At 44.1% G+C, this 18,435-nt stretch overlaps 1 pseudogene, besides 4 other annotated features; it reads right to left on the bottom strand.

The window, feature by feature from the left end:
• Positions 2,590–2,751: a silencer, noted in NCBI's record as "fragment chr20:17887704-17887865 (GRCh37/hg19 assembly coordinates)". NCBI's record gives its function as "represses an EF-1alpha promoter that drives an FKBP-Casp9 reporter gene in an ReSE screen in HepG2 liver carcinoma cells {active_cell/tissue: HepG2}" and the evidence as "EXISTENCE:reporter gene assay evidence [ECO:0000049][PMID:32094911]".
• Positions 5,593–5,652: an enhancer, noted in NCBI's record as "active region_17568". NCBI's record gives its function as "activates an Ori minimal core promoter by ATAC-STARR-seq in GM12878 lymphoblastoid cells {active_cell/tissue: GM12878}" and the evidence as "EXISTENCE:reporter gene assay evidence [ECO:0000049][PMID:35858748]".
• Positions 5,954–6,029, bottom strand: RNU6-192P (RNA, U6 small nuclear 192, pseudogene; annotated as a pseudogene).
• Positions 13,625–14,301: an enhancer, noted in NCBI's record as "H3K4me1 hESC enhancer chr20:17876154-17876830 (GRCh37/hg19 assembly coordinates)". NCBI's record gives its function as "activates a minimal SCP1, AML or CMV promoter by ChIP-STARR-seq in naive H9 embryonic stem cells {active_cell/tissue: H9 hESC(naive)}" and the evidence as "EXISTENCE:reporter gene assay evidence [ECO:0000049][PMID:30033119]".
• Positions 13,831–13,970: an enhancer, noted in NCBI's record as "active region_17567". NCBI's record gives its function as "activates an Ori minimal core promoter by ATAC-STARR-seq in GM12878 lymphoblastoid cells {active_cell/tissue: GM12878}" and the evidence as "EXISTENCE:reporter gene assay evidence [ECO:0000049][PMID:35858748]".

The raw sequence follows: 18,435 nt of genomic DNA, 5'->3' as shown, positions 1-18,435 counted from the left end.
CTCCCTCAGGGCTGAATCCCACTAGGCCTTGCTAATGAGGCACGATCCATCTTTTCCTAAATAGGGGGAAACCACTCCTTAAATGAATTACAATCACTCTTAGAACCTAGGGTTTTTTGTTTGTTTGTTTGTTTCTGAATGGGCAATATATTCATATCTTTCTAAAATTTAAAAAATAAAGATGAAAAAATTTCTAAAAACGTCTTCCCAAGTCCCTGTTCACAACTTCTTGGTTTTCATTCACCTCTATCCCCTGCCCTTCAAATGTGTAACCACTATTATCAGTTTCTTGTGTATCCTTGTGTGCGGCCCACTTGGAACTGAAGACTGCCATACATTCTGTCTTTGGGGCAGCTTCCACTTCCAGGAGAGGGACCAAGAATAAACCTACCACAAATCTTCTATTCAGGGGAGTTTCATGGCCATGAGGAAGACACAGAGACTATTTGCACCTGCATAAATAAACCTCATCACAAACTTCTAAAATACCCTGTTTCTTCTCCTAAAAACCCATTTGTAAATCTATTTGTTCTTCCCATGGTAGCCCTCCTATTCTCCTTCTAAGGCATATAAGCCCCCAGTTCTAACCACTCCGTCATTGAGCACTTCTATGTGTCTGTGCATTCCCCGGGTAATTAAACTCTTTTTTCTTGCTAATCTGTCTTTTTTTCAGTTTAATTTGCAATCCCCCAGTATTGAACCCAAGAGTAAAGTTTTTTTTTAAATTATTTATTTATTTATTTATTTATTTTGAGACAGAGTCTCGCTCTGTCACCCAGGCTGGAGTGCAGTGGCGTGATCTTGGCTCACTGCAAGCTCCACCTCCTGGGTTCACTCCCCAACACCTGCAAAGACTTTATGGGGGAGGTGTATTTTAAATACAAAAATTAGCCAGGTGTGGTGGTGCGTGCCTGTAGTCCCAGCTGCTTGGGAGGCTGAAGCACGAAAATCACTTAAACCTGGGAGGCAGAGATTGCAGTGAGCCAAGATTGTGTCGCTGTACTCCAGCCTGGGTGACAGAGCAAATATATTCTTTTACACCCTACCCCATACACCTTTTTTAAAATTTTGAGAGAAGATATTGCTCTGTCGCCTGTGCTGGAACGCAGTGGCACAATGACAGCTCACTGCAGCCTCAGCCTCCTGGGCTCAAGCGACCTTCACACCTTGGCCTCCTGAGTAGCGGGGACTGCAGGCACACACCACCACACCCGACTTATTTTTGCATTTTTCGTAGAGATGGAATTTCACCATGTTGGCCAGGCTGGTCTCAAACTCCTGAGCTCAAGCAATCCTCCTGCCTCAGCCTCCCAAAGTGCTGGGAGGTGTAAGCCTCCCACACCCAGCTTCCATACACATACCTTTAAAAAAAAACCCCACAAATGATTTTGTACTGTAGGCTGAGTGCAGTGGCTCACACCTGTAATCCCAGCACTTTGGGAGGCCAAGGTGGGAGGATGACTTGAGGTCAGGAGTTTGAGACCAGCCTGGCCAACATGGCAAAACCCTGTCTCTACTAAAAATACAAAAATTAGCCGGGTGTGGTGGTGCATGCCTGTAGTCCCAGCTGCCTGGGAGGCTAAGGCACGAAAATCTCTTAAACCTGGGAGGCGGAGATTGCAGTGAGCCAAGATTGTGTCGCTGTACTCCAGCCTGGGTGACAGAGCAAGACTCTGTCTCAAAAAAAAAAGGAAAAAGATTTTGTACTATATAACTGTTATGTGTCTTGCTTTTCTTTTCACTTGATAATATAACTCGGAAGACTTTCGATGTCTGTATATAGAGAGAATCCTGTTTTTTGTGCCTGAATAGTATCCATTGCATGCATGTGGCTATAATTTTTAAAATAGATATTAAATTATGAATAAAGTACAATAAATATGCAATCCCCTCCAAAATTCCTGTTGAAATGAAATCCCCAATGTACCAGTATTAAGAGGTATAGCCTTTGGGAGGTGATTAAGTCATGAGAGCTCTGCTCTTATGACTGGGATTAGCAGCCTTATGAAAGGGCTGGAGGTTGAAGGGAGCAGTCTCTTGTCCTTCCACTTTCTACCATGTGAGCACACAGCGGCAAGGTGCCATCTTGGAAGCAGAGAGCATCCCTCACCAGGCAGCAATGATGGATCTTGGACTTTCCAGTCAACAGAGCTGTAATAAATACAATAAGTTTCAAGGCTGGGCCTGGTGGCTCATGCCTGTAACCCCAGCACTTTGGGAGGCCAAGGCAGGCAGATCACCTGAGCTCAGCAGCTTGAGACCAACCTGGGCAACATGGTGAAACCCTCTCTACCAAAAACACAAAAAATCAGCTGGATGTGGTGGTGTTCGCCTGTGGTCCCAGCTACTCGGGAGGCTGAGGTGGGAGGATAGCCTGAGCCTGGAAGATGAAGGTAGCAGTGAGACCCTGTCTATAAATAAATAAATAAATTTCAAAATACCCAGTTTAAGGTATTTTCTTATAGCAACACAAATGGACTAAGATGAATATACATACTTAATACATATTAAGGCTGGGCATGGTGGCTGACGCCTGTAATCCCAGCACTTTGGGATGCTGAGGCTGATCACCTGAGGTTGGGAGTTCGAGACCAGCCTGGCCAACATGGTGAAGCCCCGTCTGTACTAAAAACACAAAAATTAGCTGGGCATAGTGGTGCACGTCTGTAATCCCAGCTACTTGGGAGGCTGAGACACGAGAATTGCTTGAACCTGGGAGGCGGAGGTCACAGTGGGCCAAGATTGCGCCACTGCACTTCAACTTGGGCGACAGAACAAGACTCTGTCTCAAAAAAAAAAAAAAAATACGGCCATGTGAGGTGGCTCATGCCTGTAATTTCAGCACTTTGGGAGGCCGAGGTGGGTGGATCACCTGAGGTGAGGAGTTCAAGACCAGCCTGGCCAACATGGCGAAACCCTGTCTCTATTAAAAATACAAAAAGTAGCTGGGTGTTGTGATGGGCACCTGTAATCCCAACTACTCGAGAGGCTGAGGCAGGAGAATCACTTGAATCTAGGAGGCAGAGGTTGCAGTGAGCCAAGATCATGCCATTGCACTTCAGCCTGGGCAACAAGAGTGAAACCCCATCTCAACAAAACAAAACAAAACAAAACATATTAGTATTTATCTAATGGCCTTCTTGAGGGGCATTTGGGTCTGTTTTGATCAAACAGCATCACAATGAGGCAACAAATAACCAAGTACATACATGGTTTCATCCGTGTGCAAGTTTATCGTAGCATAAATACCTCCTGTTGTATTTGTACCTCCAGTGTGCATTTGTAGTTTTGATAGTTTTTGCCAAACCAGCTCCTATGGAAGTCAAACCAAAGTACATTCCCACCAGCAATACAGGCAGATAGGAGAGACCGATTTGGTGGGGCAAGCCAGCGGCATCCCTAGGAATTTGGGGTGGGGAATTCACCTAGCTTATTTAGCTTTCCTCAGTGCAAACATACAGTAAACTTCTTATGGGAAAGGGGCTTGGGGACTTTTGGCACACCTTGTGCAGGGGCAGTGGTCAAATAGCAATATCTATCCCTGTGTAGGAATGAAGACGTGAAAGACAGTGTCAGGAGATTGAGGCCACCAGGTGGGTTTCCCCTGGGGTTCTCCCAGCAGCCTCCTGTTGGAGCCCACTCTCCTTCCCCAGGCTCCCTGACAAAGCTGCCGAAGGCTCCTTCTCTGCTCCCTCAGCCCAAGTTATCACCCCTCAACCCACCTTCAGAACTGGCCTCTCAGGAGTCACTTCTCCACTCGGGCCCCATCCTACAGCCCTCTCCAGGCATTAATCTTACTGGCTGGCCCCCTTGGCTCTTTTAACTCTCTGCTGTCTGTGGCCACCAAGCTTCTTACTTCTTTGACCCCCAGAGGACTTCATTCTGACCTCTGCCTGTGCATCTCTGCTCATTCTTCCTTTTCTATTCTTCAAGTTCGACAGCTCTTCACGGTTTTCACCTTGGTCCATTTCTCTTCCCATTCTGTGTGCTCTTCCTATTTTACTGTTTTATTATTTTTACCACAAAGTTTCTTATTTTTTTCTTTATTTTTCTTTTCTTTATTTTTATTTTATTCTTGTCCTTTTTTCTTTTCTGCTATTTTTTTATATTTTTATTTTTGATTCATTTTATTTATTTATTTTTGAGACGGAGTCTTGCCCTGTCTCTCATGCTGGAGTGCAATGGCACGATCTCGGCTCACTGCAACCTCCGCCTCCTGGGTTCAAGCAATTCTCCTTCCTCAGACTCCCGAGTAGCTGGGATTACAGGTGCCTGTCACCACGCCCGGCTAATTTTTTTTTCTTTTTTTTTTTGTATTTTTAGTAGAGACAGGGTTTCACCATGTTGGCCAGGCTGGTCTTGAACTCCTGACCTCAGGTGATCTACCCGCCTCAGCCTCCCAAAGTGCTGTTCTGGGGTTACAGGCGTAAGCCACCGTGCCGGCCAATTCATTTTAAATAAACGTTATTGAGGTATAATTTACATACAATAAAACTCATTCATACATTTTAAGCATTCAGTTGGACAACTTTTGACAAATGCATGCACCTAAACAAGATATAACACCTGTCCATCACCCCAGAAAGTGTTTTAGTCCCCCACTTGCAGTCACCTCAGTCCCAGTTCATCGTTGATCTGCTTTCTGTAACTATAAATTAGTTCTCTTTGTTTAAAAATTTTATATAAATGAATCATATGGTAGGCACTCTTGCATCCAGCTTTTATTTTACACAGTGATTTTAAGACTCATCCATGTTGTTGCATCTATTAGTAATTTCAATCTTTTTATTACTATCCCTTTCTATGAAGAGAACAAATTTTGTTTACCCATTTCCTAGTTGATGGATTACTTGAATTGTTTCCAATTTTTAGCAATCGTGAATAAAGCTGTTACGCACATTTGGATACAAGCCTTTTAAAAAGGCAACCTATTATTCCAATGTAGACTTCCACAAGCTTTTGAGCAATCAAATCCAACAGCATTATGGTGGCCACTAGCTACTTACGCCTATTCACATTTGTGTACAAGTCTTTTTGTGGGCCTATGTTTTTATGGTACTTCAGTAAATACATAACAGTAGAATTGCTGGGTCAAATGGTGGGTGTTTGTTTAGATTTAAAATAAACTCCAGTAGTTCTCCCAAGCAGTTGTACTATTTTATTTTATTTGTATCTTTATTTTTTGAGACAGGGTCTCACTCTATCACCCAGGCTGGAGAGCAGTAGCATGATCACAGCTCACTGCAGTCTCGACCTCCCTGGCTCAGGTGATTCTCCCACTTCAGCCTGCTGGGGTAGTTGGTATTACAGATGCATGCCACCACACCCAGCTAATTTTTTGTATTTTTAGTAGAGATGGGGTTTTGCCACATTGCCCAGGCTGGTCTCAAACTCCTGGGCTCAAGCAGTCTGCCCGTCTTGGCCTCCCAAAGTGCTGGGATTACAGACGTGAGCCACTGCATCCAGCCTGTACTATTTTAAGTTCCTGCCAGTGAGCTAGGAGTTTCAGCTGCCCTACATTCTAACCAATACTGGTATTACACATCTTTTTATTTTCAGCCATGCTTGTGAGTGTGAGGTAGCATCTTACTGTGGTTTCATTCTGCATCTCCCTGAAGACTACTGAGGGTGAGCATCTCTTCCTGTGCGTGCTGGCCATTTGCATGTCCTTTGTGAAGTGTCTGTTCATGTCTTTTGCTCAGTTTTCACTGTTTGCCTTCCTATTAGTGAGTTGTATGGGTTCTTTATGTATTTGGAATGCAAATCCTTTTTCAGATACAGGTGCTGTGAACATTTTCTCCCAGTCTGTAGTTTGGCTTTTCACAGCAGGAAGTTTTCACCCTGATGAAGTCTGACCCTCTGCCATGGTGGGCCTGGCCTCCAGCCCCCACTCACTCCTTTGGGGTCTCCTTTAACTCATTCTTTTAAAAAAATTTTAAAATAATTTTTATTGATATGGAACTTTTCATGAATTCGTGTGTCATCCTTGCAGGGGCCATGCTAATCTTCTCTGTATTGTTCCAGTTTTATTTATTTATTTAGAGACAGAGTGTCACTCTGTTACCCAGGCTGGAGTACAGTGGCGTGATCTCGGCTCATTGAAACCTGTGCCTCCTGAGTTCCTGCTTCAGCCTCCCGAGTAGCTGGAATTACAGGCATGCACCACCACGCCCGGCTAGTTTTCATAGTTTTAGTAGAAACGGGTTTCATCATGTTGGCCAGACTGGTCTCGAACTCCTGGCCTCAAGTGATCCGCCCACTTCAGCCTCCCAAAGTGCTGGGATTACAGACGTGAGCCACGGTGCCCGGCCTTCATTCCAATTTTATACATGTGCTGCCAAAGACAGCACTTTGACTCCTTTCAATCCTTTGCTTTCCTGCTTTGCATATCAGCTTGCCCAGCTCTTGCACCCAGTCTTGCATAAATCCCTTCTCAGTGCTCAATTTTAAAAAAAGAGAGAGGGCGGACGCTCCTTGGAAAGGAGAGACGATCTTTCAGTCCTTCTCTCACAGTTCTTTCTCTTCCTCCCCATTTGCTCTCTCCTCCCCAGCCCTGCACATCATCTCTTCTTTTCATTCTCTTTACTCCTCCTTTACTTCCTCTCCCCTTCTAAGTCTCATCTATCTTGGGCCAAAAATTAGCTTTTTAAGGTAAAATCAGGTCCCCTTCCCCATAAAGGCTTTTATGCAAAGTGTTCTAACAAAAACGTCTCCAGCTTCAATATTGCCAGAACAAATTCTCAGGGCTAGGCACCTAGAACCTAAATTCTGCCGTACCAGGAACCCCAAATTGCAGTGTTATAGAAATGAAGAGACCACAGACAGGTCAAATTGAGGAGATGGTATTTCTTCTCCTGTAACGCCCTCACCTGTGTGAGCTCCCTCTCCAGCTGTGTACCTCTTGTCAGATGAGACGATGAGAGGCTATGGCAATGCTAATTACTCTCACCTGCATCAGAGCCACTCACCTGGGTAGCTTTTAATTTCCCCCACTCTCTCCCAGAGCTTGGCTCTACCCATTAGACAGTTAGACTCTGGTGGTTTTCAGAGTGTAGTCCCCAGAGCAGCCACATCTGCACCGCCTGGAAACTTGCTAGAAATGCAGTTTCTAATTAGGTCCCACACTTCCACATGCATCAGAACCCCTGGCAGGGACTGTGAGAACAGTCAGAACAAAGATTGCTGGGGCTGGCCACAGAATTCAGTGGGTCTGAAGTGGGGCCTGAGAATGTGCATTTCTAACAGGTTCCCAGGTGACAATGTTGCTGTGGCTCCAGGGGGCCCTCTGAGAAACACCATATTAAAGATTCTGATTCAGTTGGTGTGGGTCAGACGGTCCGGGCATCCCATGTTCCAATGCTCCCCTGTGCTGTGCAGCTGAGGTTGGGAGCTCCTGGTCCATGGTCTGCGTTGCAGCACGGCTAGAGCCGCACATCTGCAGAAGACAAGAAAGACCCTCCTAAAGGGCTTCTTCCTTCATCTAAGTTTTCATCACAGGCAAACTCTGTGTGTCCAGTGTACTTGGGGCTTGTAATTTTCCTCCAAGGACCTGTAGGACCCTCTCCAAGTTTGAGCAGGTCTGGCATCCCAGGGTGCTAAGGCCTGCTGGCAGCTCACGTGCTTGGCCCCAGGTACTCTGGGAGCTGTGAGAGTTCGACCCAGAAAGGTGGATCCCTTGAGAGTTCTGGGCAGGGCCACAGCCCCCTTGGTTGGAAAGCGACGGGTCCCTTTTGGTGCTGGTGAGCTGTAAGCAACAAAGCTGTTGCCAAGGGCCTCTGGAATATGACTGTTTCTGAGGCTGTTACAAAATTATATTAAATTCCCAAATGATGGTATTCATTGTAATATATGCAAGCTTTTTAATGTATCAGCCATGCTTATATCAGGTGTGGTCACCTAAGAGTTTTGATTGTTTTTGCTCTTTTATTGATGCATAATTTGCATATAGTAAAATACACAAATCTTAAGTGGATGCTCAATGAATTTTTACCTATGTATACACTCATGTAACAACCACCAAGATCAGGATAGAGAACATTTCCATCATTCTAGTAAGTTCCTTCAGGCCCTTTCTCACTCAATCCCCATCTCCCACTGCCCTAAACAAGTAGACACTATTCTGACCTCTCTCATCATATGTAGATAAGTTTTGCCTTTTATTTTTTTATTTTTTATTTTTATTTTTTAAAAAGGGGTCTTAGTCCTCTGTGACTCAGGCTGGAGTGCAGTGGTGTGACCATAGCTCAATGCAGCCTTGAACTCCTGGGCTCAAGCGGTGCCCCCGCTCCAGCCTCCCGAGGAACTGGGACTACAGGTGCACACTACCACACCCAGCTAATTTTTAAAAAATTTTTTTGTAGAGATGGGGTCACCCTATGTTGCCCAGGCTGGTCTTAAGTTCCTAGACTCAAGGGATCCTCTGGCCTCAGCCTCTCAAGGTTCTGGGATTACAGGTGTGAGCCACACTGTGCCTGGCTTATTTGATATCTTGTGATCAATATTGTGTTTTTGAGATTCATTCATATTTCACGTAAGAGCAACCCATTCATTTTTCTTGCTGTGCTGTACACCACAATGTATTTATCTATTCTTCTATTGATGGGCATTTGAGTTGTATTTAGTTTTTGGCTGTTATCGATTTAGCAGCAATGTGTATTTTTGTACATGTTTTTTGGTGTGTGTACGCACTCATTTCTTTCAGGGTATATACCCAGGAGTGGAACTGCTTGGTCACATGGTGAGTGTATGTTTAATTTTAGAAGAAACTGCCAAATGGTTCTCCAAAGTGCTTGTACTGGTTTATACTTCCACCAGCAGCATGTAAGAGTTCACTTCCTCCACATCCTCACCAATGCTTGATATTTTCAGAAATTTAATTTTAGCCATTCTAGGGAGTGTATAGTCACAGCATATTGTGGGTCTAATTTGCATTTCCCTGTAACCATTGAGGTTGAGCATCTTTTTTTTTTTTTTGAGACGGAGTCTCGCTCTGTTGCCCAGGCTGGAGTGTGCTGGCGCAATCTCGGCTCACTGCATCCTTCGCCTCCTGGGTTCAAATGATTCTCCTGCCTCAGTCTCCCAAGTACCTGAGATTACAGGCATGTGCTACCACATCTGGCTAATTTTTTGTGTTTTTAGTAGAGACAGGGTTTCACCATGTTGGCCAGGCTGGTCTCAAGCTCCTGACCTCAAGGGATCCACTCATCTCGACCTCCCAAAGTTCTGGAATTACAGGCATGAGCCACCGCGCCTGGCTGATGTTGAGCATCTTTTTATGAACTTACTGGCCATTTTGATATCCTTTTGTGTGAATGCCTTTTAAATTCATTTGTGCATTTTTTTTCCTATTGGATACCTGACACCTTTAATAAAGATAAAAGGGTTATGAAATAGCACCTTACTCATGCCAGGAGTTAAGAGGAAACTGAAGTGGGTTTGTGAAGAAAGTGATGAAGAAGAGAAGGACCCTACTTCTCAGGTCTCTGAAGCTTATTGGTCTCTGTCTCCCCAGAACCTAGCACACAGCTCGGCACAAGACAGGAACCCAACAAAAGTTCATCAAATAAGGGGACTGTCCTTGTTTTGGGGGGCTGTTGTGGACTTTGCAATGCATGATCCTCTTTACTATTCCATCTCTCTGAAGCTACATCAGACCCTGGGACCCCTCCAATTCTGGACAGGTGGCCCACAAGTAGCCTCAGGCCACGGCTCACTGAGACAGCCCAGATTGTCTTGCTGATTAGCCTGCTTGAATCCCATGGAAAACCTCTCCTGTCACTGGGGTACTCCATGAGCCTCGGGGATTGCATCATTATTTACATCCCAATTTCTTTAAATTCAAGATTTGTATCCAATAGCGTTGGTCTCCCTGAACCTGGATCCCCAGGTTCTCAGAAGAGTCAGGGACCGCAAGCTGCCTTCACCAGCCCAGATCTCTGCTGAGCACTTGTTCTACCCGGGATGAGTTCCTGAAGATAAACCTTTTGTGCATTGTGTTATTTTGTGTGCACAACTCAGCTAAGTGGCCTCCAGCACTACTCATCATCCCGCCGCCTGGCTACCAAGAGGCCCAATCAGTATCTGTGGAACGAGTGGATAAAGAATGATTTAGGGTCCAATCCATTTCCCAATCCAGTAAGCCATCTTTCATTTCCACCATCTTGGGCCAAAGGAAAAAAAAATGGGAACATCTTTCTTTCTTTCTTTTTTTTGTGACAGAGTCTCACTCTGTTGCCCAGGCTGGAGTGCAGTGGGATGATCTCAGCTCACTGCAACCTCTGCATCCCAGGTTCAAGCGATTCTCGTGCCTCAGCCTCTTGAGTAGCTGAGATCACAGATGTACACCACCATGCCTGGCTACTTTTTGTATTTTTAGTAGAGACGGGGTTTCACCATGTTGGTCAGGCTGGTCTCAAACTCCTGGACTCAAGTGATCTGTCCTCCTTGGTCTCTCAAAGTTCTGAGATTACAGGCGTGAGCCACCGTGCCTAGCCAGGAACTTCTTTTTATGCTTTACCAGAAACTCATCTTGATGTTTTCTTGTTCTTGATGATTTTGCTAAAGTCCAGACGTTCCTTGATCATCGAACACTTCTGTGTCAGCTAAGTTGTTTGAAGCAGTAAATCCCAGCTCTACATTCCCTTCATAATATGTGTCCAACTGAAAAAGAATGTTAAAGAAGACAATAAAATGCTTAATGGTAGAGTTCTGAAATAATCAGAATTAATCAATCAATCATTTATTTATTCAAATGACCGACACTTATTATTATGTATCTCTGTGCAGCCATGCATGGCTTGAGGGATGTGACACAGGAGATTTATGTCTGGTGGTGGATGGGCTTTTGTCTCGAACTCCTGACCTCAAGTGATCTGCTCGCCTTGGCCTCCAAAAGTGCTAGGATTACAGGCGTGAGCCACTGCGCCTGGCCTTGGATGGGCTTTTGTAACCTAGTATGTCTTCCTGGTGCCTTATCCATGATTGTTTCTTGGTATGGGATTTTTCTCCCACTCTTGGGAATCTCCTGGTATTCCACCGATGGCTGCTGAAACCCAGTCCCTGGCTGGTTCCAGTGTCTGATTGTGCTAGGTTGTAATTCCATGTGCTGCCAGGAGGTGTCTCTCCCTAACACCTGATGCTGCCGCGGCTGAAAAGTTGGTTTCTGTGTGACAAGTGAGAACAGTGTTGAAGTCAATTTTGTGTTTGAAGTTTTATCTTAAAAATAAGTTAACTTTGAATAAAAAATTATCTTGGTCAGTGAAGGGTATGTAAATTTTTTTTTGTTTATTTTTCATTTTTTGTATCTTCATGAACACATGTAAAAGTTTTTGGAACGGCATTGTCCAATAGAACTTTTTGCCGTGTTAGAAATGTTTTACAATCTGCTCTGTCCAATAATTGTAGCCACAAGCCACATGGAGCTAATCAGCAGTTGAAATGTGGCTAGTGAGACTGAGGAACTGAATTTCAGATTTTACTTAATTCTAATTAATTAATTAATTAACTGATTAATTTTTAGAGACAGAGCTCAGCTTGGTTGCCCAGGCTGGAGTGCAGTGGCATGCCATAGCTCACTGCAGCCTCAAACTCCCAGTCAAGCTAGGACTATAGGCAAGCATCACCACACCCAGCTCATTTTAAAATTATTTTTTCTAGGGATGGATCTCACTGTGTTGCCCAGATTGGTCTTGAACACATGGCCTCAGGCAATTCTCTGCTTTGATTTGCCAAAGTGCTGGGATAACAGGCATGAGCCATCATGCCCAGCCTTATTAAATTTAAACAGCTACATGTGGTCACTCTATGGAGCAGCATAGCTTTATAATAATTTTTTAAAATTAATTAGTTTAATTGACACATTATCATTGTACATAGGTATGGGGTGCAGTTTGATATTTTAATACATATATTGTATAATGGTCAAATTAGGGTAGTTAGCATGTCAATCACCTTAGGCATTTATCATTCCCTTGTGGTGAGAACATTCAAAAGCCTCTCCTCTAGCTATTTTGTAATATACAATATCTTACTGTTAACCATAGCCACCCTACTGTGTAACAGAACCCCAGAATTTATGCCTCCCATCTAATTGTAATTTGTACCTGTTGACCGACCTCTCCCCATCCTCCCCTCTCCCCTGCCCTTCCCAGGCTCTGGTAACCACTGTTGGACTCTCTGACTCTTCTTCTATGAGATCAATTTTTTTTTTTTTTTTTTTTAGATTCCACATATGAGTGAGATCATGCAGTATTTGTCTCTCTGTGTCTGGCTTATTTCACTTAATATGATGTCCTCCAAGTTCATCCATGTTGTTGAAAATGACAGGATTTCATTTTTTTATGGCTGGTACAATTATTTTTGTTTCTATTATTTCAGCAAAGGAGAATCAGGAGAGAAAATATCAGAACAGAGTACAGCCAGTCAGTCTCCTTACCAGTGTCAGGGCAGATTAGTGTAAGACTGTGGGGTTCTAGAGATTTGTGGGTCAATTCTGGCCTTGCCACTTAATAGCTGCTGTGACGTTAGGTAAGTGAGTTCATCTCTCTGAGCCTCAGTTTCTTTATCTGTAGATTGGGGATTGTAATGGCAACCTCAGAAGACTACTGTGAGGACTGAGTGAAGTACTGTGTACATCACTCAGGGTATGGGAGCATTGACTTACATAGTGAGTGCTCAGCAAAAGTCCCTCTGCCCCTGTTGGTGGTGATGGTGGCAGTGACAGCGGATTTATTATTCACCAAACTAGTCTTCCTGCTCACTGTCTCTACAGGGGCTAAATCGGGGGAGGACACAGTCCAAGGTCAAGAGCATCAAGCAAAGAATTAGTCAGCAGTCAGCCTAGGAGTCAGGCTGTTGTGTCAACTGCATTAACCCAGAGGTCAGAAGCAAAGGGACTTACAGAAAAATTCTAAGAACAGAACAAAAGGATTTTTTTTTAAACTCTTCATCAAGATTCCCCAAATATTAACATTTTTGCCACATTTGCCTTACTGTTTTCTCTGTCTGTGTGTACAAATATATATATTTTTCTGAATCATAAGAGAGTAAATTGCAGATGTGATGCCCTCTATCTCCCAAAGCTTCAGTGTATAATTCCTAAAAAGTAAAGGACATTCTGCTACACAGCCACAGTGCAGTGACTAAGTCAGGAAACGAACACTGATTCAATACAATTAGCTAATCTACAGACCGTATTCAGATTTAGATGTCACCAACTGTCCCAGTAATGTCCTTTATAGCAACACAATATCCCAGATCACGTGCTGCAGTTGGTTGCCCTGTCTCTAATCTCCTCCAATCGGCGACAGTTCCTTGGGCTTTCTTTGTCTTTCCTGACCTTGACATTTTTGAAGAGTCCACGCAGTTTTCTTGTAGAATGTCCTTCAGTTTGGGTCTGCCTGATGTTTCCTCATGATAAGCCTCAGGTTGTGTATTCTTGGCAAGAATACTGGGAAAATGATGCTGTGTTCTCAGTGCATCAGATGAGCGGGGACATGAGGTCCCTTTCTTAGTTTGGGAGAATAAATTCTGATGAAAAATATTCCCAGTGAGAAGGAAAATCGAGAGGATCTCAGGAGGCTGGTGTGGTTTGCACAAGCAACTGTGCTTCGCTCACATTTTCAAAGGACAGAAGCAAAGGGTGGAAGGCAGAGAACTCCACTCAGAGAGCGAGAGAACGGAGAGAAGAGCGGCTGAAAAGCTGGCTCCAGAAACGAGCTGAGGCCCTGAAAAATGCTGAAGGCAACCAAATAGGCTTCTAAATTGCTTACTTAAAAAACACTCATTCGTTTTCCTGACAATAAAAAATAGAATGTGGTCATTGTGGAAAATACAAACGTATAAAGAAGGAAACAGTAACTCCCTGCATCCTACACCCAGCTGTAGCCACGGCTAATATTTTGGGTATTTTCCCTCCCCACCTCCAGGAAAGGTTTTTAAAGCTGCGCTTGGAGCATGAAACAAAATGAGAAAGACTTCAGCTTCTCGGCGTGGGGAAGGTGATGTCATGCCAGCGGGGGCGGCGGAAAGGGCTGCCTGTGCTTCCCCTTCACTCTCGGGACGCGGCTGTGGGCTGGGCAGGAGGGAGCCAAGTCTGGGGTGCACTGGGGAGCCCAGAACCACTGCTATGCTCTGCAAAACTCTGAGGCGCTTCCAAAAGTTTGGAGCTGGGCATGTATTTTACTGATTTCTAAAAATCGTAAGCGGTTGTTCGGGGGGAGGAGAAGGGTGTTGGGGTGACGGGGTGTCCGCGCTGGAGACTCAGCTGTGTGCGCCCTGATTCAGACGAGGGAGGCCTTCCAGGTGGGGGTGGGCAGGGAGCTTCTGGGGAAGAATGCATCCTGAGGGCGGAGAGCTACAGGGTAAGGGGGCCAGGCTGTCGGCATTAGAGGGGTGTCTGCGTTTGGCTGCAGCCCAGCCCGCAGGCTCCAGAGTCTGGGAGCCGCGAAGGAGCCGCCCTTATCAGGCAGTAGGGCGAGCTGCCCCAGGGGACAGTCTCTGTGCTGAGGGCATTCCTCGACCTGGGTCGTGGCGCCTACTAGCAGGGGGTTCCAGGATTCCCAGGGCAGAGCTGTCCGGTGTGAGGTGTCCAGCTGGCTTGAGGCCTGTGGCCCTGAAGGCCGGGTGGGCCAGGAGGCTGAGAGGCAGCCACCTTTAAAGGGAGCCAGAGCAGGGAGGGAAACGGAGCTCTTCCCCTGCCGTCCTGGCGCTGTTCCTGCCAATAGACAAGGCAGATGTGTACAATGATTATAGTCTTTTTGTTTGTTTTAAGAGACAGCCTTGCTGTGTTGCCCAGGCTGGAGTGAGTGCAGTGGCTTGTTCATAGCTCACTGCAGCCTGGAACTCCTGGGCTCAGGGGATCCTCCCACTTCAGCTTCCCAAGTAACTGGGACTACAGGTGTGTGCCACCATGCCCTGCTAATTTTTTTTTTTTTTTTTTGAGACGGAGTTTCGCTCTTGTTGCCCAGGCTGGAGTGCAATGGCGGGATCTCAGCTTACTGCAACCTCTGCCTCCCAGGTTCAAGCGATTCTCCTGCCTCTCGGCCTCCCGAGTAGCTGGGATTACAGGCATGTGCCACCACTCCCGGCTAATTTTATATTTTTAGTAAAGACGGGGTTTCTCCATGTTGGTCAGGCTGGTTTTGAACTCCCGACCTCAGGTGATCCGCCTGTCTCGGCCTCCCAAAGTGCTGGGATTACAGGTGTTAGCCACTGCACCCAGCCACCCCACTAATTTTTAAATTATTTATTTATTTAGAGACAGAATCTCACTCTGTCACCCAGGTTGGAATGCAGTGGCACCATCATAGCTCACTGCAGCCTCAACCTCCAGGGTTCCAGGGATTCTCCTGCTTCAGCCTCCCAAGCAGCTGGGACTATAGGCGTGGGCCAGCCCATCAGACTAATTTTTTTTTTCAGATCCTCACATCTCAGATGAACATCCAGCTAATTTTAAAAAGTTTTGTAGAGATGGGGTCTTGCTATGTTGACCAGGCTGGTCTCGAACTCCTGGGCTCAAGCAACTCTCCTACCTCAGCCTCCCAAAGTGTTAGGATTACAGGTGGGAGCCATCACACCACCCAGCCTGATTATAACATTTTAACTGTGGGCCAGGCACTGTGTTAAGTCTAAGTCTGCGTATGTTCAAAGTAGCCTTTGCAACTGGTCTATCGAGGTAGGTATTTATCATTCCTGTTTTACAGAGGACTCAAAGGTAAATGATATGGCAGATGTGGTCAGTGCCCCAATGTCTCCCGGGCACTGGGAGGTGACCTCAGACCATTCCATGTGTGCCTGTGGCTCCCTGTATCTCTCTACAGGGCATGCTCTATGGCCCTTGGAGTGTGGGGAGTTAACACCTCAAGAGTGATTCTCAGCTGGTGGGCGAGGGATGGGAGTTGTATGAAAACCCCAGGGTGCTTGCTCCTTGATGAGACAATTTTATTTTTAATTGTAGTAAAAAAAACACATAGCATAAAATTTACCATCTGAACCATTTATAAGTGTATAGTACAGTAGTATTAACTGTTTGCACCTTGTTGTGTAATAGAACTTTTCATCTTGCAAAACTGAAACTCTATACCCATTAAATAACTCCCCATTCCCTCTCTCTGCAGGCCCTGGCAACCACATTCTACTTTCTGTCTGTGAATTTGACACTTTAGGTACCTTGTATGCAGTATGTGTCCTTCTGTGACTGGCTTATTTCACTGAGCATAATGTCCTCAAGATTCGTCCATGTTGTAACGTGTATCTGAATTTCCCTTTTTTTTTTTTGTATTTTTAGTAGAGATGTGGTTTCACTATGTTGGCCAGGCTGGTCTTGAACACCTGACCTCATGATCCACCCGCCTCAGCCTCCCAAAGTGCTGGGATTACAGGCATGAGCCACTGCATCCAGCCAGCATTTATCCTTTCTTTGTGTTACAAACAATCCAGTTATACTCTTAGTTGTCTTTAAATGTATAATATACTATTGTTGACTGCTGTCAGTTTGTTGTGCTATCAAATATTAGATCTTATTTATTCTATCTAACTATATTTTTGTATCCGTTAACCATCCCCACTCTACCCCCACCCCACTACCCTTCCCAGCCTCTGGTAACCATCCTTTTACTCTCTATCACCATGAGTTCAATTGTTGTAATATTTAGCTCCCACAAATAAGTGAGGACATGTGAAGTTTGTCTTTCTGTGCATGGCTTGTTTCACTTAACATAAGAACCTCCAGTTCCGTTCATGTTGTTGCAAATGACAGGATCTCATTCTTTTTTATGGCAGAATGGTACTCCATTGTGTATATGTACCACATTTTCTTTATCCAATCATCTGTTGATGGACACTTAGGTGGCTTCCAAATCTTGGCTATTGTGAACAGAGCTGCAACAAACATGGAAGTGCAGATATCCTTTCATTATGCTGATTTCCTTTTTTGGGGGTATATTTTTAGCAGTGGAATTGCTGGATCATATGGTAGTTCTATTTTTAGTTTTTTGAGGAACCTCCAAGCTGTTCTCCCTAGTGGCTGTACTAATTTACATTCCCACCAACAGTGTACAAGGGTTCCCTTTTCTCCACATCCTTGACAGCATTTGTTATTGCCTGTCCAAAAGACAAAAGCCATTTTAACTGGGGTGAGATGACCTCTCATTGTAGTTTTGATTTGCATCTCTCTGATGACCGATAATGTTGAGCACCTTTCAATATGCCTGTTTGCCATCTGTATGTTTTCTTTTGAGAAATGTCTATTCAGATCTTTTGCCCATTTTTGGTTGGATTATTAGATTTTTTTCTATAGACTGGTTTGAGCTCCTTATATGTCCTGGCTATTAATTCTTTGCCAGATGGATAGTTTGCAGATATTTTCTCCTATTCTGTGGGTTGTTTCTTTATTTTGTTGATTGTTTCCTTTGCTGTGCAGAAGCTTTTTAACTTGATGTGGTTTGTCCATGTTTGCTTTAGTTGTCTGTGCTTGTGGGGTATTATTCAAGAAATCTTTGCTCAGTCCAAAGTCCTGGAGAGATTTTTTCCCAATGTTTTCTTTTAATAGTGTCATAGTTTCAGGTCTTAGATTTAAGTCTTTAATACGTTTTGATTTGATTGTTGTATATGGCAAGAGATAGGGGTCTAGTTTCATTCTTCTGCATATGGATATCCAGTTTTCCCAGCACTATTTATTGAAGAGACTGTCCTTTCCTCAATGTATGTTCTTGGTACCTTTGTAAAAAATGAGTTCACTGTAGATGTATGGGTTTTTTCCTGGGTTCTCCATTGTTTTCTGTTGGTCTACGTGTCAGTTTTTATGCCAGTGCTGTGCTGTTTTGGTTACTATAGCTCTGTAATATAACTGGAAGTCAGGTTATGTGATTCCTCCAGTTTTGTTCTTTTTGCTGAGGATATCTTTGGATACTCTGGGTCTTTGTGGTTCCATATATATTTTAGGATTTTTTTTTCTATTTCTGTGAAGAATGTCATTGTTATTTTGATAGGGATTGTATTGAATCTATAGATTGCTTGGGATAGTATGAACATTTTGACAATATTGGTTATTTCAATTCATGAACATGTAATATCTTTTCATTTTTTGGTGTCTTCAATTTCTTTCATTAAGATTTTGTAGTTTTCATTGTAGAGCTCTTTCACTTCTTTGGTTAAGTTATTTCCTAGGTATTTTATTTCATTGGTAACTATTGTAAATGGAATTACTTTCTGGATTTCTTTTACAGATTGTTTGCTGTTGGCATATAGAAATGCTACTGATTTTTGTATGTTTTTTTTGTATCCTGCAACTTTACTGAATTTATCAATTCTAATAGTTTTTGTTGATGGATATTTTTTGTTTGTTTGTTTCTTGTTTTTTGTTTGAGACGGAGTTTTGCTCTTGTTGCCTAGGCTGGAGTGCAATAGCGCCATATTAGCTCACTGCAACCTCCACCT

Source organism: Homo sapiens, chromosome 20 (genome assembly GCF_000001405.40).
Source record: "Homo sapiens chromosome 20, GRCh38.p14 Primary Assembly".
Lineage (NCBI taxonomy): Eukaryota > Metazoa > Chordata > Mammalia > Primates > Hominidae > Homo > Homo sapiens.
Note: the sequence above shows the minus strand (reverse complement) of the source record. Positions and strands in the feature narration are given on the sequence as shown.